At 40.5% G+C, this 24,311-nt stretch overlaps 1 protein-coding gene across 1 annotated transcript in view, besides 1 other annotated feature; it reads right to left on the bottom strand.

The window, feature by feature from the left end:
- Positions 1-24,311, bottom strand: part of SDK1 (sidekick cell adhesion molecule 1) — a 967,749-nt gene that overhangs the window by 583,906 nt on the left and 359,532 nt on the right. The window lies entirely within an intron of this gene.
- Positions 524-1,024: an enhancer, noted in NCBI's record as "H3K4me1 hESC enhancer chr7:3723703-3724203 (GRCh37/hg19 assembly coordinates)". NCBI's record gives its function as "activates a minimal SCP1, AML or CMV promoter by ChIP-STARR-seq in naive H9 embryonic stem cells {active_cell/tissue: H9 hESC(naive)}" and the evidence as "EXISTENCE:reporter gene assay evidence [ECO:0000049][PMID:30033119]".

The following is a 24,311-nucleotide window of genomic DNA, read 5'->3' as shown; positions in this document are numbered from 1 at the left end:
ATGCTGTCAAACATTACTTCTTCAAACATTTTCAGCCCAACCTTCTTTCTCATCTCCTTATGAATTCTGATGATACCAATGTTACCTCTCAGTCTTGTCCCACAGGTCCCTTTGGGTCCATTGTTGTTGTGTCCAATCTATTTTTTCTTAGTTGTTCAGATTGGCTACATTCTTGACCTGTCCTCAAGTTCATGGATTCGGTCCTCTGTGTCATCTCTATTCTACTATTGAGCCCATCTAATGAGTATTTTATTTTGGTTATTCTATTTTTCAGTTCTCTGCTTTCCATTGGCTCTTTTATTTCTGTGCTAAGATTTTCTATTTTTTTTTTTCATTTATTTCAAGAGAATTCAAAATTACTTACCGAAGCACTTTTATGACTAGCTGCTTTAAAATATTTTCCAGATTATTCCAACATCACATTCATCTCTGATTTAGCATCTGATAATTGGCTTTTCTCATTCAAGTTGTGATTCTGCTGGTTCTAAGTATGATAAATGGTCTTCAGGTATATCCCACATATTTTGGGTATGATATAATAAGACCTTTGCATCCTATGCATCTCTTTTTAGTGGGCTTACCCATTGTGGATGTGGAGCATAAAGGCCGGCTGGGTATGTGTGTTCAGCTTTATGCTGGGCTTCTCCAACACTATCATGGCAAAAGGGAAGCACTGACTCCTCTCCCCTTGCTGCTTCTCAGTGAGGGGTGAGCTTCAGTATGCACTTTACAACCACCAGGAAGGGGGAGGGGAGGCTGACTCCCATTGCTTTGTAGCTGCAGCTTGGGACTGAAGGTCAGTTCCTCCCTGTGCCTGACTGAAAGGGTGTGTGGGGTGATGCTTAATAGTTAACTTGCACAGCTTCTCTCACCCTCCTTAAGTACCTGATGCTGAGTTGGGGTAGAGGCTTAGCTCCACGCTAGACCTGCTGAGACTGCACGGGTTGCAGGGATCAGTGTACCACCTGTCACTGCTGAGCAGGGAATGGAGGATCAGCTCCTACTGAGGCCTGCCACCACCACCCCACAGCGGAACTTGAGCACCTGAACGCTTGAGTGGAGCAGCGGTGGAGATGCACATTACCTTTCATTCTGCCCGCTGAAACCAGCTGGAGGGCCAGGTGATGAAGGGGGTGCTTTTCTCATTCCTGTGTGGCTGCATTGGGACAGGAGTGGCCAACACATTTTTTGTTACTAGGCCACAATTTGCCCAGCCCTATGCCTGGAGGAAACAGGACTGTTCTTGGAGCATTTTGTGTCTGTGTCCATTGCTAGTTCCAGATTAGAGGTTTTTACAGCTCCTTGTTAGGACATGTGCCGTGTAATGCATGTGTCTAAGGCAACAAGGCAACAAGGAAACTCAGAGAACCACCAGCACCTCATGCCTCAAGTCCCAAGGTCCCCAGGCAGCTGCCTCTCCTTTCACCCTCCAGAGTCTTCCACGCTTGCCATGTTAGGCGCAGGGAATGTTAGCTGTGAGGTGGAGGACCTGGGAGGAACGGGGCTGCTCCACCTGGATGGAACGTGAGCTCAGTAAATAGTTTCTGAACACCTACTATGCACCAGGTATATGTGAGTTTCTTGTCCTCATGAAGTGAACAAAATCTTAACAGAAGATTACATAAAAATCATTATAATAACCTCTGATGAGTATTCTCACAGGGCATGTTTAAAACTACCTACTCGCCTCAAAAATCTCCCTGTCTGCTTCCTATTGTCTAAACCAGTTTTGTTAACAGAGCTGAAAGGCATTATCTTTTAAAGATAAAAGGCTTAAATAATTATTCATTTATTAAGCAAGTATTTGGCAAGTGCATAGTATGTGCTGGGTCCTGTTATCAACATTGGGGAAGCATCAGAAAACACCACAGATACAAAGCTATACACTCATGTAGCTTACCTGTGGAAAAGACAGACGAAAAAGCAAGAAATATCATATGAAAGAAGACTGCACACACTACATTCACTCCCAATCAATCCACTCAGCGTAAATGCCTTGCTCGGTAATACTGTGCCTGAAAATCACTCTCAGAAATATTTGCTATTGAATTTATAAATCCAGGCCGCGCGTGGTAGCTCATACTTGTGATCACAACACTTTGGGAGGCTGAGACAGGTGGATCACTTGAGGTCAGGAGTTCCAGACCAGCCTGGACAACATGGTGAAACCCCGTCTCTACTAAAAGTACAAAAATTAGCATGGTGGCAGGCCCCTGTAGTCCCAGCTACTCAGGAGGCTGAGGCAGGAGAATCACTTGAACCTGGGAAGTGGGGGTTGCAGTGAGCTGAGATTGCGCCACTGCATGATCTGGCAGTGCAAAACTCCATCAGATCGAGTGACAAAGCAAAACTCTGTTTAAAAAAAAAAAAAACTGTAAATCCAAACGCTTGATTTGAGATCCCCCCTTCTGAGAGAGGAGAGCAGGTTGGAGTATAACAGGCAGCTCTATGAAGCTGATGTAAAAAGAAAAAAATTCTCAAGAAAGGAAGAACACAGGAAGGAGAGGCCAGCCGTGCTGAAGGCTCACTGCCCCATGCATGGGGGCTCAGCACTGTCTCTGCAGCAGACACGTGAGTTCTGACCCTGGACAGTTCAGTGCATACGAGCGCCTCCGTGGGAACGCTGCCATTAGCTTTGTTCCAGATACCAGGACGACAGTGCATGATTTGTGACAGCTTCATTATAGAGGAGTTTTCTTCCCCTCTGGAAATGTTAATTTACAAATCTCAAAAATTGCTGCTTTCCTCAATAAGAAGCAACTGTGGCATAGTTGAAAAGCACTGGACAGAATCGAAAGACAAGATTTGTGTGTCAGCTCTGCTGTTTAGTAAGCCATGGGGTGAGAGTCCCATTTTCTGGTGCCTCCATAATATCATCTGTGAAATGGGTATAATAATACCTGGGTTGCCTATCATCTCACAGAGTGGTAGAGAGAGGTAAACCATTTTTGTAAATGCTGATGTGTAATTTTTAGCATCATAATCTTCACTGGTCGTCTGACAGGCAGATACTTCAAAATTCTACCAACTAAACAACTACTTTAACTGATATAAGGCTGTTTAGAGTCTGTTCTTCTCCCATTTACTTTTCACTGCAGAACATTAAAACATTTGATTATGTTATGCTCTCAGAGACCATTCTTGTGATACTGGGCTACATACAGTATAGGGACTGTATAATCTTTCCAAAATATGAAAAATAAAAACTCAGAATTCTAAAACATATCTGGTCCCAAGAGGTTCGGAAAAAAATGTTATACCTCTGTTTGTTCTAATCCAATTCATGTGAAAGGAAAGTTAATCAATAAATAGAAAGCTATCTTTTGGCTGCAGCATTCATAGATTCAATGTATTCATTCAACAAGTAATTATTATGTGCCTACTATGTCCCATGTTCTGTTCTAGATACTTGGGATAAAAATATAAAAAAAAAGCACATGATCTTTGGAGCTTATATTTTAGTGATGGGAGACACATAATATACACTGTAAGTAAGTATGATATGTCAAAAGACATTAAGTGTTATTGAAAGAAATGGACAGTTAAGAAAATCATTTTGAAAAATTGGCATTTTGAAAAATAAATTTGAAGACTTGCCTACCTTTATGACCCAGTAATTCCATTCTGAGGTAAAACTCAACAGAAAGATGTCCACAAGTACACCAGGGATGTGTACAGGAAAGGTCAGAGCAGCAGTTTATAATCATCTCATCAGGAAAAGTCTAACATTAAAATGAATGAACTCACTGGGGTGTACACACAATGGAATCTTAAACAGCAATGAAAACGAATGCTTTCCAGAACAAATACGAATGCTACAAAAACTATGTTCAAAGAAGTTAGAAACACAAGGATTCACACAGTCAGATTTCATTTACATAAAGTCAAAAAACTAAACTATAGCACTCGGGGGCATACTCAGATGGTGAAACTATAAAGAAATACAAAGTGGCAGCCGGGCGCGGTGGCTCACGCCTGTAATCCCAGCACTCTGGGAGGCTGAGGCAGTGGATCACAAGGTCAGGAGATCGAGATCATCCTGGCCAACATGGCGAAACCCCATCTCTACTAAAAAATACACAAAATTAGCTGGACCTGATGGGGTGCACCTGTAGTCCCAGCTACTCCGGAGGCTGAGGCAGGAGAATCGCTTGAACCCGGGAGGTGGAGGTTGCAGTGAGCCAAGATAGCATCACTGAACTCCAGCCTGGCAACAGAGCGAGACTCCATCTCAAAAAATACATAAATAAATAAATAAATAAATAATAAGAAATACAAAGTGGCTAACGCATAAGTCAGGATAGCTGTTGCCTTTAAGAGGAAGAGGAGTTGCATCTGGAGACAACAAACCTAGGGATTCTCAGATGCCACAGGTTCCATTTCTTGACATTCATATGCAAATAGTTACTTGACAATAATTAAAAGATGCAAACCTGTATTTTAAAATCACTAGATTTTAAATAATAATTCATAAGAAGATACCAAAATTGTACAGAAAGGTCTTATGTACTCTTCATCTAATTTCCCCCAAAGTAAAACCTTATGTAACTATGGTACAATATCAAAACCTGCATAGTCATTGGAACAACACCCAGACCTCACTTAGATTTCATCATTTTTCCATGTACTCATTTGTGTGTGCACAATCATATAGTTTTATGCAGTTTTATCACGTGCGCATTTATACAACCATCACTACAATCAACACACAGACTGTCCTACCACGACAAAGATCCCCTGTGCTGTCCACCTAAATTCACATCCAGCCGTCTCCCCTCACCTCCCCTCTCAAGCTCTCCTACGTCTCTAACTCCCTGCGACCATTAATATTTTCTCCATCTCCGTAATTGAGTCATTTTGAGAATGCAATATAAATGGACTCACACAGTCTAAAGCCTTTTGAGATTGGAGATTGGGTTTTTCCCTAAGCATGATGCCCCTGAGATCCAGCCAAGTCGTTGCCTGGTTCATTCATTCATTCATTCCTTTTATTGCCGCAAAGGATTCCATGCTGCGGATGCACCACGGCTTGTTTACTCTTTCACCCACTGAGGAACATCTGAGTGGTTTCTGATTTTTTTACTAATCTCAAATAAATCTCTAAAATTTGACTATTACAAATAAAGCCTCTGTGAACATTTGCGTGTGCATTTTTGTGTCAATACAGGTCTTCATTTCTGTGGATAAATGCTAAGAAGTGTGACCGATAGGGTCATATGGTAAGCGTATGTTTTGTTTTTAGACAAACTGCCACACTGTTTCTCAGAGTGGCTATATGCCAGTTTACACAGCAGCTAGCAATACAGGACTGATCCCATTTCTTTACATCTCGACGTATTTGATGTTGTTACTGTCTCTTTATTTTAGCTATTCTGATAGGTAGGAAGTGAAATCTCATTGTGGTTTGAAAGTGCGCTTTCCTAATGGCCAATGATGGCAAAGGTATTTTCATATACCTGTTTGACATCTGTATATCCTCTTCCATGAAATGTCTATTAATCTCCTTTGCCCATTTTCTTTTCTTTTTTGAGATGGAGTCTCGCTCTGTCGCCCAGGCTGGAGTGCAGTGGCACGATCTCGGCTCACTGCAAGCTCCACCTCCCGGGTTCACGCCATTCTCCTGCCTCAGCCTCCCGAGTACCTGGGACTACAGGCGCCCGCCACCGCGCCCGGCTAATTTTTTTGTATTTTTAGTAGAGACGGGGTTTCACCATGTTAGCCAGGATGGTCTCGATCTCCCGACCTCGTGATCCACCCGCCTCGGCCTCCCAAAGTGCTGGGATTACAGGCATGAGCCACCGCACCTGGCCTCCTTTGCCCATTTTCTAATAGGAATTTTTACTATTGAATTTTAGGAGTTCTTCACAGATTTCAGATAAAAGTCCTTTGAAAGACATGTGGCTGGCAAATATTTTCCCCTAGTTTGCAGCCTGTTTTTTCATTCCTCTTTGCAGCATCTGTCCCAGAGCAAGTTTTCACTTTTGATCAAATTCAATTTATTTTGTTTTCATGTATTGATCATGTTTTTGGTGCCATAGCTAAAAATTGTTCACTAATCCGTAGGCTCTGAAGATTTCCTCCTGTGTTTTCCAAAAAGTTTTATAACCTTACATTTTACATTTAAATCTCTCGTATGTTTTGTCATTTTGTTGTTGTTGTTCATTTAAGTTTTTTTAAAGATATAAAATGTGAGGTTTAGGTCAGGTTCATTATTTTGCCTGTTGATACCCAATTGCTCCAGCACCATTTGTTGAAAAGATCACCTTTCCTCCCCTGAATTGCTTTTTAAAAAACTGTGGTAAAATATGCCTGAAATCTATCATTTTAATGATTTTAAAGTCTACAATTTCATAGTGTTAAGTACATTCACAGTGTTGTGCATATCACCACTATTTCTATCCAGAACTTTTTCTTCATCCCAAACAGAAACTCTGTACCTGTGACACAGTAACTCCCATCTCTCCCTCCCCCCAGGGCCATGATGACTTCTATTCTACTTTCCGACTTTATGAATTTGCGTATTCTAGAGACCTCATGTAAGTGAAACCACACAATGGGTGTTCTTTTATGTCTGGCTTGTTTCACTTAGCATAGTGAATGATTAGTTTTCAAAGTTCGTCCACGTGATGCAGCATTTTTCAAAGCTCCTGCCTTTTATGGGCACATAATAGTCCATGGTACCTACAGACCATATTTTGTTAATCCATTCATCTGCTGATGGACACTTAGATTATTTCTACATTTTTGCTGTTGTGAATAATGCTGCTATAAACATTGGTGTACAAGGTCTGTTTAGGTCTCTGCTTTCAATTATTTGGGGTATATACCTAGATGTGAAATTGCTGTTAATTGTATTTTTAACTTTCTGAGCAACCAACGGTCTTCCACGGTGGCTAAACCATTTTACATTTCCACCAGCAATGCACAAGGACCCCACTGTTTCCACATCCTCACCAACACTTGTTAATTTTCTACTTTTTATATTAGCTGTTACAAGGGGTGTGAAGTTGTGTCTAATTGTGGTTTTGACCTGTTAATGTCATGACCTGCTGTGGTTTGACCACTAATGACTAATGACACTGAACATCTCTTCATGAGCCTACTGACCTTTTGTATATCTTCTCTGGGGAAATACTTTGTTTGTTCTGTTGTTGTTGAGTTGTAGGGGTTCTTTACACATTCTGGACATCAGCCTCTGATCAGATTCTATGGAGTTTTGTACCCTTGTCAAAAAATCAGCTGGTTATCCATGTGTGAATATATTTCTGGGTTCTCTACTCCATCCACTGAACTATGTGTCTATCCCTCCACTAATACCACACTGTCTTGTTTACCACAGCAACATAGTAAGTCTTAAGATCACATTAAGATATAAAATATATATTCACATATTGAATCTTTCAATTCATAAACACTGTCTTTACATTTAACAATTGATATGGTTTGGCTGTGTCCCTACCCAAATCTCACCTTGAATTTTAATAATCCCCATGTGTCAAGGGCAGGGCCAGGTGGAGATAATTGAATCACGGGGGTGGTTTCCCCCATACCATTCTTGTGGTAGTGAATAAGTCTCACGAGATCTGATGCTTTTATAAATGGGAATTCCCTTGCACAAGCTCTCTTGTCTGCCAGCATGTAAGACCTGACTTTGCTCCTCATTCACCTTCAGCCATGATTGTGAGGCCTCCCCAGCCATGTGGAACTGTGAGTCCATTAAAACTCTTTCCTTTATAAATTACCCAGTCTTGGGTATGTCTTTACTAGCAGTGTTAGAACAGACTAATACAACAATATTAACATCTAAAAAAGAAGAATCCAGGGCCAAAGATGCTTATCGTATGTTAAATAAAAATAGTGTACACACCTACATGCACACACACACACATACACACATACCCCTTCGCACACAGAGCAGAATCCCTGTGGGAGAGTTGGAAATTCCAAGGGTTTAAGTAGGGTGGCCAGAAAAGTCTTCACTAAGAAAAGGATATTTGAAAAAAGTACAAAATTAGCCACCCAGATTTCTTGAAGAAGTCATAAGAAACAAACATCCCAGAGGCCAAGAGGTGCAGGAATCCTTGGTATGTCCAGGGAACAGAAGTAGGTAAAAGATGAGGTTAGAGAAGCAAAAAGAACAAAGTTGAAGCATCACATTACCCAACTTCAAACTATACTACAAGGCCTAAGAAACTAAAATAGCATGGTATGAATACAAAAGTAGACACACAGACCAATGGAGCAGAACCCAGAAATAAAGCCACACACCTACAACCATCTGATCAACAAAGTCAACAAAAATAAGCAATGGAGTAAAGATTCCCTATTCAATAAATGTTGCTAGGATAATGGGATATCCATATGCAGAAGAATAAAATTGAACTCCTTTCTATCATCATATACAAAAATTTACTCAAGATGGTTTAAAGACTTAAATATAAGACCTCAAGCTTAAAAAATATTAGAAGAGGGCAAGGCGTGGTGGCTCACGCCTGTAATCCCAGCACTTTGGGAGGCCAAGGTGGGCAGATCACAAGGTCAGGAGATTGAGACCATCCCGGCTAACAGGGTGAAACCCCGTCTCTACTAACAATATAAAAAATTAGCTGGGCGTGGTGGCAGGCGCCTGTAGTCCCAGCTACTTGGGAAGCTGAGGCAGGAGAATGGTGTGAACCTGGGAGGTGGAGCTTGCACTGAGCTGAGACTGCGCCACTGCACTCCAGCCTGGGCGACAGAGCAAGACTCCGTCTCAAAAAAAAAAAAAAAAAAAAAGTACTAGAAGAGGCCAGGTGTGGTACGTGTAATTCCAGCACTTTCGGAGGACAAGGCAGGAGTATAACTTGAGCCCAGGAGTTTGAGACCAGTCTGGGCAACATAGTGAGACCCCGTCTCCACAAAAAAATACAAAATTTAGCCAGGTGGCAACATAGTGAGACCCCGTCTCCACAAAAAAATACAAAATTTAGCCAGGTGTGATGGCATGCACCTGTAGTCCCAGCTACTTGGGAGGCTGAGGTGGAAGAATCGCTTGAGCCTGGGAGTTTGTGGCTGCAGTCAGCCGTGATAGTGCCACAAAAAAAGAAACTCAATAGAGCAAACAGACAACCTACAGAATGGGAGAAAATATTCAGGAACTATGCATTCAACAAATGTCTAATATTCAGAACATATAAGGAACGTATAAAAGGAAGTTAGATAAATCAGCAAGCAAAAAACAACCCAATTAAAAAGTAGGCAAAGGGCATGAACAGATACTTCTCAAAAGAAGACATACGGGGCATGGCATACCTGTAATTCCAGAACTTTGGGAGGCCAAGGTGGGAGGATCACTTGAGGCCAGGAATTCATAACCAGCCTGGGCAATACAGTGAGACTCAGTTTCTACAAAAATGCCTGTAGTGGCTGAGGTAAGTGGATGGCTTGAGACCGGGAGTTCCAGGCCGCAGTGAGCTATGACCATGCTACTATACTCCAGCCTGGGTGACAGAACAAGACCTCATCTCTTTACAAACAAACAAACAAACAAACAAACAAAAAGGAGTAGGGGGAGGAAGAAAGGTAATGGGGAGCATATTATGTAGACTTTTGTAGGCCACTTTAAGTACTCCAGCATTTAATGTGAATGAAACAGGAAACTGGAAATTTCTGATTTTGAAGACTGACATGATCTAACTTACATTCTAAAAAAAGATTAGCTAAGTGTTGAATACAAGCAAGCAAGAAGACTAGACCACAGACCAGAAGCTGTTATAATAATTCCAGCTGTAGACGACCATCACTTGGTCCAAAGTGGTAGCAGTGAAAACAGCTAAATGTTGGATTTTGAATAGCTTTTGAAAGGAAAGCTAACAGGTTTTTCTGTGGCTATGGGTGAAAGATCAAGGTTTTGGCCTGAACCATTTGAAAGATAAAGCTGCCATGAAATGATATGATATAGACTATGGGTGGAGCAGGTTTGGGGCATGGAGGGAGATCAACATTGGAGATATCTGTTAGATTCACACGTGGAGATGGCTCACGGGCATGAGAAGGTTTACAGCCGTGGCTAGCAAACTCTAACCCATGTACAGAATTTGATGCAGGCTTGTTTTTATATGGCCCACACACCAAGAAGACTATTGTTCCTCAGGTCACTATGCTTCTATCCACAGGGGTCAGGAAGGATACCAAATGCCCTCTACTCCCTACCACTCACAGCCTTGCCTAATGATTGGCTTGAGTCTACCAGCATTAATCCAGCCATGCCCTTTACCCAATGCGTGCTGAACACAGAGCCAATCTTGTGGATCTCTGTCCAACTCCTTATAGAAAGACGTCATGTTGGTCACCTGGAATACACTGTGGTGGGAGTATTCACACCATGAAAATTGGAAAAAGCTACACATCAGGGCTCTTCCCTGCCAAGAGCCAGTTATAGTTATCAAACACTGAACAACACATCACTGCCCTTTGTCCGTATTTATGGAATAAAGTCTTAGAATCTCAATTCATCCCTCATCTCCTGTATATGAATCCCCAAACAGCCATGAACAGCTCTTACTCCACACTACATCCCTCACCAAACCAAAACTCCTTAACCACTTCCATTGTGCTTTCTGTGACTCAAAGACCAGCCTCAGCAAAGGCCCCTGTATTGTCACCCTCTCCTCTAAATGTTTCTTCTTCTTGCTCAACAGGAAGGCTGGTCCTCCCCTGCTGACACTCATGCCCTAGCAGCCCTCTCTAGGTCTCTCCCACCCTGCTTTGGACTTGGACGTGGGGTAGATGCCCTCCTTCCTTCTCATTACCATGCTCACTACACTCCACCCGCCTCTTCTCAAATTGCCTCCATCTGTAACACTGAATCTCATGTCGTCTAACTTTATCTCCCACTACACCTTCGTTGTTGTAGTCAATTTCTGATGCTGTCTTTCCCTTATCTTTTAGTGATATAGCTCTTGACTCACAATTTCAGTATACACATTGACTGTGCTTCAATCAACATGTGATCGGTCTGTGCCATTCAGAGATGTTTTTTTCTCCTATTCTCTCTTCTATGCCTTAATGGACTTCAAGACTTAAAAGCATTTAAAAACTCCATGATCAAACAAATCTCCCTGCTGTCACCTACCAAAAAGTTATTAGAAATTATCTCTTATTCTTAATCAAATTTCTATTTATTTTTAATAAAATTTGCTTTGGGTTTATATTTAAGAATACTTTATAATCAGTTCATCAATAATAATCTCAATGTTCAAGAAGTACTTAGAACTCAGTTTTATGATATAATTCTCAAACAAAACCAATGTGTATGTCTTCCGCCCTTGGAATGCAAACTTTTGCCTGCCACATAATGAACTGACTATGCCAGCCACCAAATACACAAGGCAGCAGGGGGCGCAGTTTTGGGCCCTCCAGGTCAATGACTGAGCTTTTGTCTTTGCAGAGCAAGACGAAACTACCTAATGCATTAGCAAAGCAGAATATCCAAAACAACATGAGACAGAAATAAAAAGGGGTAAGTCTATACCAAGGCATCTCACAGTGAATGTTAATAAACTCATGTAATAACAGGCCGGCGGGGCCTATGGTATGTACTTTTATTTTTCCATGTTTAAACATTGATTATAAATGATTATGAGTTTTAAGGTTCTCACATAAGCTGATAAACAACTAGGAATAGAGAGTATACTAAAAGGAAGAGCCAGTCAACAAAAACCTTCCAGGAAAAGACTCTTTCAGGAAATGAATGCTTTTATTTCCCCTTTTGTCTCTATTGACACTGTCTAGCTCTCCGATCTTTCCGTCCAATGAATGATTCTGTTGATCATGAACCGCCCCCATGGGATTTGTTCCTGCAATGCTTCATTCTGGATTTACACTTCCATTCTATCAAGTGTAGTCAATATCCTGTCTGTAGGATGAGAGTATTGCAGATAAAAATCAATTCCCTTTGGAACTCATTTTCGGAAAAGCTTGGTGCATCACTGAAATTGAGGAACCGCTGCCTTACAAATTGGTCAAATGCTACAAGGAAGTATCTTCATACTTTAAGTATTTATTTACTATCAGCAAGAGCTGCTTCATAGCTAAAAGAAGTAAAGCAAAGATGCTTATTTAAAAAAAATAGAAAAAAGGAATAAAAGAGGAAGTAATATTAAAAGATGCATCTAGAAAAAGTTTAACCATTTCAAGAGTTAGAATAGAGCTTTTACCCAAAGATCACTCCAAACCCTCAAGGGTGGGGATGGGGCCCTCATTGTAGGTGCCTATTTTGGCAAAAGTGTGATCTGTGCATACTTAGAGCTTTCTGTATTTTTTATATATATATATATATATATATATATATATATATAAAATTATATATTATAAAAATATATATTACATTTTTATTTAATATAAATTTAATTTTTATTTAATATAAATTTTATTTAATAACAAATTTATATATAAATTTAATATTTATTTAATATATATTTAATATATATTATTATATATTATATTATATAAATATATATATTATATATATATATTTCTCCACATCATCTCCTTTATCGATCTCACTCTGGGATCTATAAATAGATTGCTTTTGGACTTATTTAGGTACTGGTTTCCAGCTCATCTTTCTTCTTTGCCTGTATGTCCTATCTCTTTTGGCTAATGCCTCTGTTTTTTTCCTCAAGAGTTTGCAGTAGAAGTATAAACACAGCTTTCATCTTTCATGTTGGCTTACCTCCAGTAACGGCAAGAAACAGAGAGACACTTCAAGAACTTGGGGGTGCAGTAGGGTAGATGAGCTGCTTGCTGTGATAGAATAACGTGTGATGGGTATTCACAATAACTGGGCACTACAGAAACAGGATGGGTATGGAAGCCACTCTGAGGATGTTTTCATTCTCACCAGCAGCATCGGCTGCCTCCCTACAATTCTCCCTGCCCTCATTCCTATAGTCCTTCAGGTTAGACCAATGGTCACCACACCATGACCCGCCACTCCTCAGAGTTACCAGGAAAACTCCTCCAAGACCTCAGGAGACCCTGTGTCCCATATCATGGATAAGCCCTCCCAGAGGCCGCCAGGACTTCAGAGCAGCTATGCCTCAGGGTCCATGTGTTCCTGCTTTTAGCTCCAAGCAACTACTGTGTAGGCATGGATCAGTTGTAAAGGGATAAGTCAAGTTCAGCTGATTCCTCCACATTATAAACACAAACAATAAGCAAGCAAGCAAACAAAAACCTGCCCAATCTCACAGACATATTACATAAGAAGGAAAAAACTATAAAATGGTTTCAAAGATTTCCCACTGGCGTTATAATTTCACTTCCTGCTCTTAATTTCTTTTTAATCTCATTATAAAACTCACCAAAAAATGCATTAGGTTTTTCATGAGACTGTCTCAGGGATTATTTTGTACTGAATGACAACATCTACAATGAAAAGTGTTTGATTAGTTAACTTCCTGGAGAAACACAAGTTTATTTTAAACACTCTTCACTTGGATTTTTTTCTATTGACTCAGTCTTAAACTTGTAAATAGGTATAACAGCAATGATATGATCATACAGACTACACATTTGTCTCAGCTATATTGAGAAAGAAGGGATAACATCAGAGCTTACAAATTAGGAATCATAATAACAAAAAGGGTAATGACCAGAGCTTCATTCAATGAGCAACAAAGTATTTTACTCTGTCTTTGGGGAGATGTACATTGATTCCATTTCCTTCTTAAATTTGTGACTATAAATATTTAAAAATTGGTTTAAAAAATGTCCCTGATGGGCTAGACTCACACAATGTAGAGGCCGATGGAATTCTAGAGAACATTAAGCTTAATTTTCTGAATTTACAAGATGAAGAAATGAAGAGACAGTGAGAGGAAGTGACTTGACATTTAAAGTCAGAAACAGACACGAAGTCCAAACCAGATCCTGTTCAGTGTTTCTTGTCTCCTCTAAATATACTGAGTAATGACTTGGATAAGACCAATGCTGAAAACTCAGGGGTAAGGCAAGACACCCCCCGCCTTGAGGTCCCAGTCCTCCAAGGGCCTAGAGCCCAATAGGAGAAACAAACCTCAAGGAACTAGTTATGCAATGAACTGTTTTAACTGTAATCGTGGTAACTATGGCAAAAAAAAGTTACAGGATGTGCTGTAAGAACAAATAATAGACGACCTGTCCTTGTAGGAATCAAAGAAGGTTTCCTAAAAAAGGTTACTCTTGAACTGAGCACAAAAGGGTGATCATCTAATTTATTTCACAAACCAGTAGTAAAAGGGGATACCTAAAAACAGTAAATGTTAACTGATCTACAACAGACATAAACTGGGTCTGTCCTGAGCCAGCTGGGATGTAAGGTCCTTTGCTGCAGAAGGATAAGTCAGTACTAAGCAAGGGAAGCAAGCGGGTGGGTATCCTGTATAAGTGGGGAGAGCAACGAGAATTCCCAGAGACAAGAAGGGAGGTGGTTCGTTAAGCAAATAATCTAACATTTACTGGGGGCTTATTAACTGTCAGTCACTGTGCTACCACCGCACACGTTTCATCTCATTTAATTCACACAAATCCCCTAAGAAGCTGAGACTAATAACTGCATTTCAGAGATGAGAACACTGATGCATAGGTTCAAGAACTTGTCCATTAATAAAAGTTTTGTTTTGTTTAAGAACTTGTCTAAGATCATACCTAGTAAGTGAAAAGTTAAGATTCAAACTCAGGTATCTGATCCGGGAAACTAAGAACGTAACCAATATACCAAAGTGGCTGTGGCTGGACGTCAGAGGGAAAGAGATGGAAGAAAAAATTTAGGTAGATAAGGGAAGGAACTGAATTACACAAACCCTGCTGTTTATATTAAGGATTTGGTTACTCAGACTAATATACTAATGGATTTGAAGGAACAGAGTAACAAGATCAGGTTCATATTAATATATCATTCTGACCACAGCATGGGGAATGGAGAGAGAAGACAAAATAAACATAGGGAAACAAGGTAGAGACCAATGAAAGAGGCAAGAGTTTGGTCAGGAATGGTGGCAGAGGTGGACACACAATGATGTGAGTAGATTTGTGGGATAACATGTGGTACAATAAGAGAAACTGGTGATTGACTGGATGTGGTGGAAGAGAAAAAGAAGTATCAAGGATAATTCCTTGGTTCTTGCTTGGGCAACTGTTGGATGGCAGTGTCATTTATGTTAAGAAAGGAGAGCCAGGAGTAAGGCAGGGAAAATAGGGTCAATGAAGAAAAAAGAGTTCTGTTTTCAACCTACTGAGTATGAAGCACCTTTGAAAAAACTCCAGGAAAATACAATGAATAGGCTGTTGAATACATAGGTTTGAAACTCAAAGGAGTGATGTGGGCTGGAGATGTAAAATTGTGAGTCATCTGCAAGTGCTATAGTTGGTATGTGAGCTGATGAGCTTGGATGAACTTACCTAAGGAGGGAGAATAAGGTGGGAGGTAGTGAAGTGCTAGGACCAAGGATTGAGGAAATCCAAGGTTTAAAGACAGGTGGAGGAAGGCAAGTTGGCAAAGAGGTCTAAGAAGAAGAGAGCCAGAAAAAATGAGCAGGAGTGTGTTGTGTTATTGAATTCAAAAGAAGAGAGTGGTTAAAGAAGGTGGAAGTAAACCGAACAGTCAATACCAGCGAAGTTCAAGGAGAGTAAGAACTCAAAGATGATTCTGTTTTGGTGGGAGCAGAAGTAGATCTTCAAGAGTTCAATGAAAAGGGGGTAAGAAGGTGCTGTAAAACCTGAACATGTTCCAAATATAAAAATTCTGCAACAAGGTCTGTAGTTAATCTGTTTCTGTATCTGTTTATGAGACAAAGCAGTAACTTTAACAGGTTTTTAATCCCCTCTGCTCCTACACTGCTTTCCATGCTCTTATAATTTGGGATTTCAATTCCACATTTCTTTGCTTTTCAAAATATTCAACATTCATTTACACTAACCAATATGTTTTACCACCTTATTTGTTCATTATCACTCCTAATATTCTACTTCTTCTCAGATTTACTTTTCTCCCTGGAATGTGTCCTTTTTAGATTCTCTCAAAGAGCTTTGGTAAGTGGTAAACTTCTTGAGCCCTTATGTGGCCAATTGTCCTTTTCAAATGGGGCACAGCAACATTCCTTACCAGACATGCTCTGCCAGAGCCTCCCATGACGTCACACAGGGACAGGTCTATGGCTCCTTCTCCTGAACCTGGGCAGGCCTTTGTGACTCTTTCAGCTAGTGACACAATGGTGAAAATGGACACTTTGTGACTCCCAAGGCTCATCATAAAAGGCAATATAGTATTTTGTTTTGTTTTGTTTGAGTAGGAATTTCACTCTATCACTCAGGCTGGAGTGCAATGGCGCCATCTTGGCTCACTGCAAACTCCGCCTCCCAGGTTCAAGTGATTCTCCTGCCTCAGCCTCCCGAGTAGGTGGGATTACAGGTGCACACCACCACACTCGGCTAATTTTTGTATTTTTAGTAGAGATGGGGTTTCACCATATTGGCCAGGCTGGTCTCTTGCCCAGGCTGGTCTCGAACTCTTGACCATGTGATCTGCCTGCCTCGGCCTCCCAAAGTGCTGAGATCACAAGCGTGAGCCACTGCACCAGGCCCAAGGCAATATAGTTTTTATGTGACAGCTTCTCTCTGTATGTTTGTCCTTGGAACCCAGCATATAATCTTTGAAGGAAGTCCATGCCCATGGAGAGGTCCATGTAGAAAGGAACTGGGGTCTCTGGTCATTAACTCTGATGAACTCTCAGTTAACAGTCAATACCAACTTTTGCCATGAAAGTGAGTCGTGTTGGAAGAGGAATCTACTGCCATCAGTGGAACCACCCTAGCTGACACCAGGTGGAGCAAAGATAAGCCTTCCCACTCCTGCTCAAATTGCAGATTTGTGTACAAAACACCTGATTATTTTGTTCTAAGATGGGTTTCAGGGCAGCTTATTAAGCAGTAAAACATAATGAGAATGGCTTGCATGTCTAAAACTGCCATTATCCCTCTGTCCCCTACCTCAAATGATAGTTTTGTTAGGTATAGCAAGCTAAGTTTCTGATTATTTCCCTGAGGACTTTGAGGTTTCTTATAAGTTTCTTATAAAGTTAAATAAACATACACTTACCAGAAAGTCTACTCCAAGCATGTAACTGGGCAAAATAAAGGCTTATGTTCATGTGCAAACATATTTGTGAATGTTTCTAGCATCTTTATTTGCAAATGGCCAAAACTGGAACAATCCCAAATGCCCTTCAACTGGGGAATAGAATAACAAGCTGTGGTACATGCACACAATAAAATACTACTTATGAATAAAGAAGAACAAAGTACTGATATGTGCAACAAAGAGATGAGTACCAGATGCATTACGAGAACTGAAACAAGCCAGATTCAAAGGCTAAATACTTTAGGATCCCATTCATAAGATATTTTAGAAAATGCAAAACTATAGGGACAGAAAACAGATCTGTGACTGCCAGGGTCTCCTGGTGGAGGAAGAGTTGATCACAATGGAGTGTGGGAGAATTTGGGCGGTGATAGAACTATTTTATATTTTATGATTGTGGTAGTGGATCAACACTGTATGTTTGTCAAAATTCATCAAGCTATATATCAAAAAGAGTGAATTCTATCCTTGAATCTTAAGCATGAGGGTGAAAAAGATATTCCCTCTGAATAGAAAAGCCTCAGGGTAGGAGGAGGTTGGGAGGAAGACTTTTCCATGATAAACTCATTGACTTATTGCCAAAATGTCATTCTACAAGTGACTCATAAAAAATAAATGGTGTTACCATTGTAATAATGGAATAAGTAGATGCTGCAGTGTTCTCTATACAAATGTGTGTTTTTTATAATAATATGGTTATAATAAAATTACATTTGAACACACTATATAAACTTCATGGACATGTATTTCTCAAATGAAAATTAGCTACAGTTAGGTCAGAATAATCTGCCAAGGTACACAGATATGCACAAGACATATTACAATATGTCACAATTCATTGGGATTTTTATTTCTTTTGTCATTTATTTTTCTTCTAGGAGCACTTAATGGAAAGAACAAGTCCTTAGCATAAAATTTCCCAAACCGTAAGAACACCCCAAAACACCAAACACAAGTCCTTAAAAAAAAAGTAAATAAAAAACTCACTTCAATTCTGAGTTTAGAAAAGTGTGATGTGACTGCACCAGCCAACACCTCTTGTGACGGATAGCAGATGCAGACAAGGGGAAACGTCAGGCATTTATCCCTCGTTTCCACCCTGCAAGACCTGAGATAGGAAGGCATGGACCACCTGATCTCACCACTGACATCATTAAAGGATGTCTCTCCTTTGATTTTTTTTGTTTTCACAAATGTACTTTGACAGGTAATTATGAAAAGAAAATTAATATTAGGCATAAAACAATTAATTTATTCAAACAAATACCAATCGCCAACGACGCACAAGGCACTATTTTAGGGCCTGAGATACAGAGTGTCTGTCCTCAGGAGCTTATGATATACAGAGAAGCAAGGCCCAAGCCATGGCAGCACACGGCAGACAAGACCTGCAACAGGGAGAGGTGTCGCCAGACCCCAGGGAAACCACACTGAACCTGCTGTGTGTCGGCAGCAGGGTGAGGGCAGGAGCCTGGGAAATGGTCTCAGAGAAAGTGATGAGATCTGAAATGTAAGATAAAATCTGAAGCTAAAAGTAAAATCCAGCATGGTGATGGCATTCCAGGCAGGGGGACGGCATGTGCAAAGTCCCATGACAAGAGACCTGGGGCAGCTGGGACAGTGTACAAGGCTGAGCGTGGCTGCCTTGTGAAGGGAAAAGGAGAAACAAGCCCGACAGACAAGGCCAGATGCAGGCGGCACAAGGCCAGGAGGACCAGTGCTCGAACTTCATCTTGAGGCCCGGAAACTACTAAAAGGATTTTAAAGGTGAGTGGGGTGGGGGTGTCATATGCCACCTTCAGAAACATCTGGTTAACTGGATTAGGAGGTGAATAAAGGACAAAGCTGGATACTTGGAGATCAGCTGAGATTTCCTGCAGGAATCTAAGCAGAATTATGCCAATGGCCAGAACAAAGGTGGTGGCAGGAAGAAAGAGTGAACCCCCTGACTAATTGGAATAGGAAGTGTGAGCCAACCGAGAAATTGTGGGAAGATGGTAGAAGGTGTTCTGAGTTTCCCTGCCCTTCATAAATGGAACCAACTGAGGAAACATCTTCATCACTAAGTCAATCTACATCTGTTAATAAAGAGAGAAAAGCAACACAAGGAACGCTGGATACTCCAAGCATGAATCAACTTTATCACTTTTGTCTCCAGACTTTGGAGGGCAAGGGGAGCATAAACAAAGACTGCAGATGGCAGCAGGATCCACGTGAGAGAAAGCACCAATGCTCAATGAATGGCACGACATGTCCTGCAGTCACCACGAAATACTACTTCTAGTTGCCTCTTGCTGTGGCACTCCCTCCCCATGCAAAAAAGAGAAGGACAAGGAAACAAACATAAAAATATTTATTAACTAGTCAGGCACAAGACAAAGCTCCATTCATTCAACCAAACAAATACTTCTTGAACATCAATATGTGTGGTGTGCTATGGTGTGTTGTATACAAGAGATGCAAAGGTGAACAAAAATCAATCCCTACCCTCAAAGAATTGCAAAATGTGATATAAGGCAGCAGAGGCTAGAGCAGGACTAAAAGAACTATTCATTATTTTAACTGATATGTAGATTCATGCAAGTTTTCTCTAATGTTAACAACCTGCAGAATCTGCTCAAACTGTTCCTGTAGGTGAGGCCACGGGAAAATATAGTGAAAGAGGGGGCTCAAGGCATCACTGTAGGTGGGGATGATAGTGGACTGCTCTGCGTGCACAGGGTGGTCCCCATGTGTGGGTCTCCTGTTGAGGAGGCACAGAGGGCATTCACACCTGGGACCTACTTCACATAGGAAGGGCCCATCTACGAGGTTTCATAGGCTTCAGAAAAACAACAGCCAGAGAGTCCACTCTTTCTTACAGACTTACATCATTAATTCATTTCTCTACTTTCAGGTAAACTCAAGGATCTCTGAGTTATTCAGAAGAGCCTACTCAAAGTTTATAATGGTCTGAATCATCCTGCTGTGGATATGGGTCACATCTGTTCCTCTGGAAAATGACAGACTGTCCTCCAAAATCATTGCCATTTTTCAAATAAGATATGAAAGTAACAGTTTCTGTTTCTTGGAGGCAATGTTTCTTCATCTCAGAGCCGTAAGAAAGATGCCAAGTTATTAGAACACATGCAGATTTGAAAGCAGACCAAAAGCTCTATCAGACTATTGCTAGTTCTCAATTTTTTTTTTTTTTTTTTGAGACAGAGTCTCGCTCTGTTGCCCAGGCTGGAGTGCAGTGGCACAATCTCGGCTCACTGCAACCTCTGCCTCCTGGGTTCAAGCGATTCTTGTGCCTCAGCCTTCCAAGCAGCTGGGATTACAGATGCCCGCCACCATGCCCGGCCAATTTTTGTATTTTTAGTAGAAGACATGGTTTCACCATGTTGGCCAGGCTGATCTCGATCTCCTAACCTCAAGTGATCCACCCACCTCGGCCTCCCAAAGTGCTGGGTTTACAGGTGTGAGCCACTGTGCCCGGATGCTAGTTCTCAAATTTATAAGCACAATGAAAAAGGCTGTAATATTCCAGAAGAAAATATACATACAGGGACCAGAGTACACAGATTCGAGTTTCTTGTTATACTTTGCCACAAAGCAATGGCATTTTAGCTGGAGTTGCCCTGAGTTGTGGGGTAATTAACAGCCTGGTGTTTTTCATTGCAACATTTGCCATGGTCAAGACCCTCCCAGTGACGGAGCTCCTCCGCACACCTCTGACTTGCCTCATGCTTTACACTCCCTTCAAGGTATGTATGTTTTTGTCAAGCATTCCACCAAGAAGAAAGAAAAATATCTCCCAGTGGCAAACTGAGAAATGCTCACTGGGCTAATTCCAACAGGTGTGTTTCAACAAGCATTGAATGTTGTCCAGAAAAAGAACAAAGGGAAAATAAACTAGAGTGAAGGTACAATGTACCCAAAATGAGATGTTAGGGGCCCGGAAATATCTTGTGGTTAATTTTTCTCAAATTTATAAGCCTAGCATACCATGGAAGTGTATCAACTTCTTCCTACAGTGACAATGATACATTCCTAAGAAAAATGCTTTGAAAAGAAATTCAGTTCTGTTCATGAAACCTTTCTGCCTTGCTTAGCCTTTACAGGATAGTTAGCTAATCTTAGATTTAGTTTTCTACTTTCCATACTTCCTTTTAGATGTACAGACTTTGACAGTGGTAGGGACAACACATAATTCTAGTGTGGCAAGTTTTATACCCACAGTAGCTATAAACAAGTAGGGTGGCCAGCCATCTCGGTTTGCCCAGGGACTGAGGGGACTCTCAGTGCTAAAACTGGGACAGTCCTGGACAAACCAGAATGAGGTGATTACCCTGCATGTCACACACACTGTCCCCCTCTCTGGCCACATGGTCTAAACAGCAATCTCTCTCATCTTACCCATCATTGTGTTGTTCAGGTCCCTCAGCTGAAGAACAAACCTCTAAGCGGACAACATCACAGAATGCAAACAAGCAAGGCCCTGAGAACAAGCCCCAAGTCGAGAAGATACATCGCAAGCATGAATCCCACTTCCCTATATATTTCATTTAGTTAAAAACACCAGAAGGGAACAGATACTATGTGTGCATGAAATAAGCTTCAGTTTTTACACACTCCACCTACAATTATCCCACTTGAAAACAAAAACATGGATGTTCATTTCTCTGATGTAGGACACTGTACTATTATCATTATATATCTTACTCTAAAAGTAAGTATCACAATTTTACTCATTTTAAACAAGAGTCAGAGCCTTTTGCCACTGTAACAGATGTTTCAACAATTTTTCTGCTTACCATTGAAAACAGATTTTGTTTTCAAATATGGAAACAAAATAATCTAATTATGCACTCCTTCAAAGTCCAAAATGAGATCAAATATGTGTACTATCTGATTGATACATACACACATATATGCATACACATCTATGCATGCATGCATACTTGCATATACATAATACATATTACAGGTTGAGCATACCTTATCCAAAATGCTTGGAACCATAAGTGCTTCGTATTTCAGATTTTTTCAGATTTCAAGTATCTGCATAATGCATACTGGGTTAAGCATCTCAGATCCCAAAGTCTGAAATCCGAATCCAAAATGCTTCAATGAGCACTTCCTTTGAGCATCATGTTGATGTTCAAAAAGCTTTAGATTTTGAAGCATTTGAAATTTCAGATTTTCAGATGTGGGATGCTCAACCTGTATATAATTTGTATATACGTATATAAACACTGTACATCTGTGAGACACATTTAGAAGACAAAGAACCCGAAACATCTGTTGTTGCTGTTGTGCTCTTAAGAGAGGAACCATTTCTCCGAACCCAAGCCTGTGAGCTCCCAATCGTCCCCGCAGCGGCCCTTGTCAGCACCCTTCTTCTCTCTGGACCTCCAGGAAGACAGCCTGGGTCCTCACTGCCTTCTCTGCCTTGCTAAATGGGGCTTTTCAAAGGACAAACAGAATCTAGGAGAGTTGTCTACAGTCATGGGTTTCCCACTTTCAGGACTAATGTATCAGGCAAGGACAGGGGACTAGGCAAAGATGTGTCCCTGGCTCCCAGTGCTGAGCTGTGAAAAATGCTCATGCTCCATCTTTTGTGTAACCAGACAGGATGTCTTTTTGAAGAGTATTGTGAGATGTTCAGATGATGATACCTTTCAAACCTGCATAACTTAGTTACAACTTTTCCCGTAGGACCCATTTCAACACTGATCCATCAGTTCCATTTTACCTATTGTTATTGAGAATTTGGACTTTTGTTCGAATAAAGGATTAAGAAAATAATTGTTGTGCCTCCAGATGGGATGAAAGTAACCAGATATACAGAATGCAATTTTCTCTGCAAGATTTCCTTGAAGGGAACACCAAAAAAAAAAAAAAAAAAAAAAATACAACCGTTGCCTCTTCCTCTATTTGAAACATTTGAGTAAGTGGTAATAATAATGAGAGTTGTCAGAACCACTAATGGTAATAACGGTCTTACTACACCCAGGTAGTAGTCTAAGCCCTCTAGAGTTGCACGTGCTTAAACAGGTAACCCCCTCAGCCATGCTATGAGGCAGGTGTTATTACTACACCAGCTTTACACAACAGGAAAGTGTGGTGCCCGGAAGCCCAGGTGCTTGCCCGAGGCCACACAACTATTAGGTATCACAGCCAGGGTCTGAACCCAGACAGCCTGGTTTCCGAGTTTACATTCTTAGCCACCATTTTATACTGCATTTTTCCAAATCATATATATTCCTGAAGATGTTAAAAACAGCAAAATAATGGAAAATGCTAAACCGAGGGCATTTCACACTAAGAATTTAGAAACAGTTTTTAAAATTTTTAATCAGTAGATGCTTTTCAAAAATTCAATGATAGCCACAATTCCTTATTTCATCACTAGATCAAAGAAAGGACTAAATCAAATCCAGGGCATTTACAACTTATTTAAATTCATATAGCGTGTGATAGATGAAGGCGGGGTACTACACAACTAGACATTCCACTCACAACAGAGGATCAGAGATAAGCCAACGGCAGGTTGTTAATGTCCCCTTTCTCTCCAACTTTAATTAGCACAAGTACTGTTTTGCATGCATTTCCATAGACAAAATTCTTACATTTAACTAAAATTTAATCCAGCAATGTTAATCCATACATAGCAGATTCAAACCAAACCATGGTTTCTCTGCATATAACCATTACTTAAAAATATATGAAAAAAGTTAATAAAGTTATGTATAGTCAATTAGTTGTTCAAAGTACTTGGTGTGATACAGGATTTTAGCTAGAATACTGAACTCAACAAAGCTCAGGTAAATGGTTATCTAGATCACTGGAGTAGGCAATAACGGATTCTCAATGATTTTAGAGAGTGAGAGATAGGTGTTGAAATGACCATGAACACGGACAGGCTTCACATAAGTAATTTCTAAATACCAAAAATTACTCAGCAGAGGTAATTCTCAAAATTGCTTCACTCATTAAACTACAGACCCTGACTATTAAAGTATACACATATCACCAAAGGACATAATGTATCTCTCAGATATAATAATTTACCTCATCTAATAATGAATGGGCAAGTCTAGATTGAAGAAGAAAAGATTCATGCTCTCAAAGATAAATAAGTTCTAAGGATGCCTCCCCATTTATAACC

This window comes from Homo sapiens, chromosome 7 (genome assembly GCF_000001405.40).
Source record: "Homo sapiens chromosome 7, GRCh38.p14 Primary Assembly".
Classification (NCBI taxonomy): domain Eukaryota; kingdom Metazoa; phylum Chordata; class Mammalia; order Primates; family Hominidae; genus Homo; species Homo sapiens.
The sequence above is the reverse complement of the archived record's forward strand: the minus strand, read 5'-3'. Positions and strand labels throughout refer to the sequence as shown.